This window comes from Homo sapiens, chromosome 4, assembly GCF_000001405.40.
Source record: "Homo sapiens chromosome 4, GRCh38.p14 Primary Assembly".
NCBI classification, from domain to species: domain Eukaryota; kingdom Metazoa; phylum Chordata; class Mammalia; order Primates; family Hominidae; genus Homo; species Homo sapiens.
Genome location: NC_000004.12, coordinates 124,482,225 through 124,488,259, shown reverse-complemented (window position 1 = coordinate 124,488,259; position 6,035 = coordinate 124,482,225). Strand labels below are relative to the sequence as shown.

Below are 6,035 nucleotides of genomic sequence, written 5' to 3'. Positions count from 1 at the left end.
TGGCTCGCCAAAATAAAATCTACTTTTTGCTTTTTATTCCACATAATTAGCACATATTTTAATAAACATTTCTGACATTTCTTAATGCCTCATTATACTTGATTTGTTATCAGCAGCATCTGCAATATTTATTTCTAGAAATAGTGACATTGAAGTTTGGATCATCCAAGTCTTAAAAAAGAAAAACTCTGGGACTTAATGATTGTATATGCACCATGTGTGTTTAGCTTTCTTTTTTTCTCAATTTAAATCTTCTAGTATAAAGTAAGACCAATGTAAAATATTCAGAAAAATCCTGTAAGAATTGAGCCTAGGAAAGCTGAACAAAGAGTGAACTTTGCCAGGCCTTTTAAAAAGCCAGCTGTATGCATCTGCTTGTTAACATGTAGCATTATTCTGAGCTGGGAATTGTGTATGCAATTCACAGTGTACATGGGCCGTTTGTCCTGGGAACATATATTGTGACTGCCAAAACTAAATAGAGTTAGCCAGTTCCCATGAGTGGAATATGATGGTCCTGAAACAAAGAGAAAAAACTGAAAATAAAAGTGACTGCTCTGATTGTTAGGGTGGAAAATGAACTGGAAACAGAAGAAAAATATGAACCGAAACTGTTTAACTATTTACAAAACTTTTAAATTTAATGATTGCTAACAATGACAAAATATTGCAGTGTACCATTTTTCATTTTGGTAAATACTTTGATAAATAACATATTTAGAATATTAAAAGTAATATATGATATTCAGTGATGTAGTATAACAAGCTATGTTATGAGTAAAAATATTTGTATTTAGTTTAAAATTATAATTAACACTTGTAATTGTTTATTTATGCTAAATATAGAATGAATCTTAGATTCTTTTGAATGACAGATTGATTAAGATTAGGTTCAGAGGCATACAGCAGAAACAACCAACCAACCAAAAAACCCAGAGAGTGCAGGCTTAAATAAATAAAAACCTAGATAAGCAGTCTAAAGTAATTGGCCCAAGGCTGGTGTGGCAACTCCAAGAAGTTTTCAGGGCCTCTAACTTCATACTCTTTATTCTTGACATCTCTCAGTTCTACTCTCTTCTTCAAGGTTGAAAGAAGCCTATGGAACTCATTATCAAATCTCTATTCTTGAAAATAGGATGGAAGAAACAAGAAATAAAGGAGCCCCCCTCCAACAATTCACACCCTTCTTCCCCTCATATGCAAATATTTGCAAATTACCTTACCCAGATGCAAATGTTTCACATAGCTGCAATCATATTGTATATGTAATATTGTACTTTCTTCTTAGTTTATAACCCAAATTTTTAATTTAATTCATAATTTCACCTATTAGTCAATCCTCATGCATTCAGTAAGTATTAATTGATTATGTTCCTTCTATGTAATGCTAGGTGTAAGTGGTGAATAAGATGTGGATTCTCTCCTCATAAAATTTACATATTTAGGGGTTAATAATCTATATAGATTACAGTTCACAGGGACATGACCTTGGACATAGAATGCCATGATATTGCAATGTGTGTTTGGCATTTATGTGTCAATTTTCCATGGATCCTGTTTGGGAAAATATGACTCCTAGTGAGAAAATGTTGATCATGAGTCTCCACTCAGTGGACGGGGATGGAATGATGCTTCAGGAAGAAATGATAAGCTCTGCTTCACAGGTCACACAGATCACACACAGAATGTATGCATTCATTTTACTAGTAAACAAGATGGTTTACTACTGATCAGCCAAGAACTCATTTCTGGGATTACCAGACTGCATTTGTGTTTTCTTATCATGTCCCTTAGTAACAATGACAGAGAGTTGCTGCAGTACCGATGATTGCCTTGAAGGCCTTCCTTGTTTTTCCCTTCCTGGGATAATTCCTTCAAATCTTTCATGATTTCTTGGAGTTTGTCTGCTTTTATTACTGCCTGCCCTTCCAATTATGACTGGGAGTTCTTATAAATGGTTCCACAGACTATGTGGAAGAAGATAACTTTGGATGATTATTAGAGAAAGTAAGGGATGTTGTTGTGCAAGTGAAACAATATTGTGTTTAAAGAATTTACAAAATTTATTTCAAGCTTAGCTGTAAAATAAAATACCTTTGCTTGTTATCTTTTGAGTAGATAGTGAACAAATAAACCAGTAATGAATTCTTAGTTTTCTAAGTTAATTTTTATTTTGGAAATTTTTTAAAAATTACAACATTCATAATTACTATAGAAAATCAGAGAAAGTTGCTAAATAGAGATGAAAAATAAGATTGCCTATAACTCAATTATTCAGGGAAAACCATTCTAAATATTTTAATGGTTTATATATTTTAACTACCTCCCTATATACATATAACATTTTTTAACACAAATTGCTTATAATTTGCCACCTGTATTACCTACTCTTATCAATCAAAATAAAACTTAGGCATCCTTCCTTACCAGCAAATATATATATTGTAGATTGTTATTTTAATGTCAACATTACTTTACTATTTGAATGAAACATTATTTATATATAGATAGCCATGTTTATTTTTTGTACTATAAATAAAACTTTAATGGAATACTTATAAATAAATGTTTACATACTTGTTAATATTTCCTTAGGAAATATTTTTAGAGATAAGATTTGTAGATTAAGGACAGCACACATTTTAGTACTTTAAAACATAAAACCAAATGGTTCTTCAAGAAAGTTGGACCAATTATAGCAATCACATCCTCAACATGGCATTTTGTTTAATCGCTGGGGATGTTTGAAAAATGTTAACTTATTTTAAAAAATTTTTATTTATTTAATATTAAGATTGAAGATACCTGCCTATTTTTGGCTACCTTTTTTGCAAATTGTTATAAGATTTATTTAACTATTAATTTTTAAAGTAATTTAGTCTTTTTGTGATAACATCAATATCATGCCTTTGCATAACAGGCAGTCCACGCATATTTACTTGAGAAGAAATGAAAACAATTGAGACTCTTATATCACTCTAAGGGTATCATTATAAAGAAAAACATTACTGAAAAGCTTTAGAACTGCCAATTAGTTTTATTGATGGCAGCACCCAAAAGGAACATAGCTCCAGATAGTTCCTGCATTGTTTAATGTCATTTAACTAGACAGTGAATAGAGTTATTTGTAATTTAATTTAGCGTAATACAACAGTACTGTAAGTTGGGGAAACTCTCTTAAAAGAAATTAGGACAGATAAAAGATGAAAAGATGAGAGTTTAGAATTTAATGTGAAGAGTAACTATCATTAAATGAAAAAATTATGGCATTGATTAAGTAGCTCCATTTTAGACTCTTGGATGGAAAACTCATGTACACATTTCTTGGATGTTATTTAATATGTTGGCACTTTCTACTATACAAGAGCTTTATAGGCAATTTAATATCCTGAGACGATTTCTGTGAATTTTATTTGTGACTGTAGTACTTGTTTTTCTATTGCCCGGAGACCAGCAGTTTTCCAAAATTATGCAATGATTGATACCACAGGATAATTTAGTCTTTCTTATTATGCATGTTCACTTAATATGTTACAAAGTTGCTCTTAGAAATGACCCTTGTGCCCGATGAGCTTTAGAAAAACATAAAACAATCACAATTTCTTTGAACTAGCATTTTAAAAACCACGTTTGGTTTCTATTAATTTTATTTTCAATAAGATAGATTTTCTTCCTGCTGTACATTTGATGATACATAAATTTACTAGCAATGTGACATACTAAGTGAATATGAAATGTAGCAGGTGATTACAAACCACCTGCTAATACATTAGGTACTATTAATACATTAGGTACTAGTACCTAATGTAATAACACTGGTATTAAAAATAATTGGTTTTTGGATTCATTTCCTTCAATAATGACTATATGTTGCATTTAATTCACTGTCAGTTTTCTTTAAATGTAGGTAATTGCTAACTCATTGAACCACTGCCTTTGTATAAAAATATGATGTTGTTAACTTTGGACTAGGAAAAAAAAAACATGACAAACATGACAGAGGAAACCTGGTTCTTGGAAATTCCCATGGGCCAGGTATGTCTGCTATGTATCCAGGTGAGAAGCCCTTGCAATCACATCAGTGCATATCACAATGTAAATAGGCAGCTGTTTGCTTTCACCTATAAAAGGAGAATGCTTGTTTGGTAGTGAAATGTTATACATTCATATTTGTTTATCCAATGTCCAATTTCACTTTTATTTTCATATTAGTGGAAAGCAATTTTGAGAACATTGAGAGTTATTTTGCTTTTTTTTTATCAGTTCATCTTGATTCAAACTATACTGAATTTTAAAATCAATTTATTTCATTTAATTTGAAAGCTGAAATTTGGTATATAAATTATTAAGAGCCATAGAACTATCAACTGGCCACTATGTCAAATTTTTCTTTAGGAATCACTTTATTTTTTCTAAAGACTGTAATTGAGATAAACCAGTAGAGTGTTTGGCTTTTTTAAATTCCTTCCTTGTGCTTATATTCTATAAAGTATCTAGATTTGCCTCCTGTTACATTTAAAATGCATTGCCATTAACTGTTGAGATAACGTGGATCAGTCTCAATCAGATAAGGGATATGGAATTTTCAAAAAGTTTATGGTATCTGTTTATGGTATTAAAGTACATTTGTGTTTCCAAAACTGGATTTGCAACCTTAGGTGCTACAGCCACAGCCCATCTTGTTAATATGCTCTCACCCTTATTGAGCCGTTTGGCTGGGAAATTGCTAATTTATCTCCCTGTGCACAGCTGGGTAACGTTCAGTGCAGAGAGACAGCCTGTGTTTATTGGTGATGGAGGTGAAGGAGGGAAGGAGCAGGTTTGGGGAACTCAGATCTACACTACTTTTGAAACTGTGTGGTATGCAAAATCTAAAGAATTTACTGGCCTGGTAGATTAACTACTTATACAGAGAAGAGATAATGGAGACCCGGCATGCTTTCCAGGAAACAGGCAGCTGGGAAAGAGGGAGTGACTACTCCCCAGCCAGCCTTGCTGAGAAGTGCCCTCACAGCTGAGGGCCATGCAAAGAGGATGACAGAGCTGAGTAAGGCAGATGGGATCTGTTAGCCACCGCTGACTCTAACAATAGGCCAAAAGGGAAAACTGCCACTGTGTTTCCAGACAGTGAATGAGAGGGGCTGGCTGGCACCGCAGTCCCTGCATAGAATTTTAAAGGAGGAGTGGGCTGATCTGTGAGGGAGGGATATCATAAGCACAACTCAATTCAGACTTGTGCCATTATCTTGGGCTGGTGGGCTGTTAATTTGGGTAAAGAGTCTGTGTTCACTGGTGATGGGTGTCAAGAAGGGAAAGATTATGTTTAGGAAAGTCAGATCTATGCTACTCTTGCTCTGCCTTGTACTCAATACCTACAAAAAAAAATAGTTTCCATGGACATCTACATCTGTTTATCCATCCATTCTTTCCTGAACATTTACTGAGTGGCCAGCCAATACTAGGTAAACTACTAGGCCTGCAGAACAAAAACAATAAGACCCAGCTCTGGCCCAAACCTCTCAAGATCTAGTAAAGAAAATAGACATATAAAACAACAACAAAATAAATGAATAAATAAAGTCAAAATGCAGTAAGTTGTACTAACTTCAAACCACAAACATGCTAGAAATCCTGACTATACCCTTATACCTTGTGCTTTTATTTGTAGACAATGATTGAGAGTCAGGTTTTAGTGGCTCCATTGGCTATTCATTGAAATAGCCCACCTGCCCTAATTATTGCCCAAGAAAACAATGACTTAACTAATTTCACTAATAAAGTGCCCTATAAATCTTCTAATACCACATGAGGTAAGAGACATGTATCCATGTTTGGACAGATGAGGACACAGAAAAGGTAGATAACTAGCTTAATGTCCCACTGCTTGTTTTATTTATTTTTTGAGATGGAATTTCGCTCTTGTTGCCCAGGTTGGAGTGCAATGGCTCGATCTCAGCTCACCGCCACCTCCGCCTTCCCCATTTAAGCAATTCTCCTGCCTCAGCCTCCCCAGTAGCTGGGATTACAGGCATGCA

General features: G+C 33.8%; 1 annotated feature.

Moving 5' to 3' along the window:
* Positions 4,787–5,317: an enhancer, noted in NCBI's record as "OCT4-NANOG hESC enhancer chr4:125404098-125404628 (GRCh37/hg19 assembly coordinates)". NCBI's record gives its function as "activates a minimal SCP1, AML or CMV promoter by ChIP-STARR-seq in naive H9 embryonic stem cells {active_cell/tissue: H9 hESC(naive)}" and the evidence as "EXISTENCE:reporter gene assay evidence [ECO:0000049][PMID:30033119]".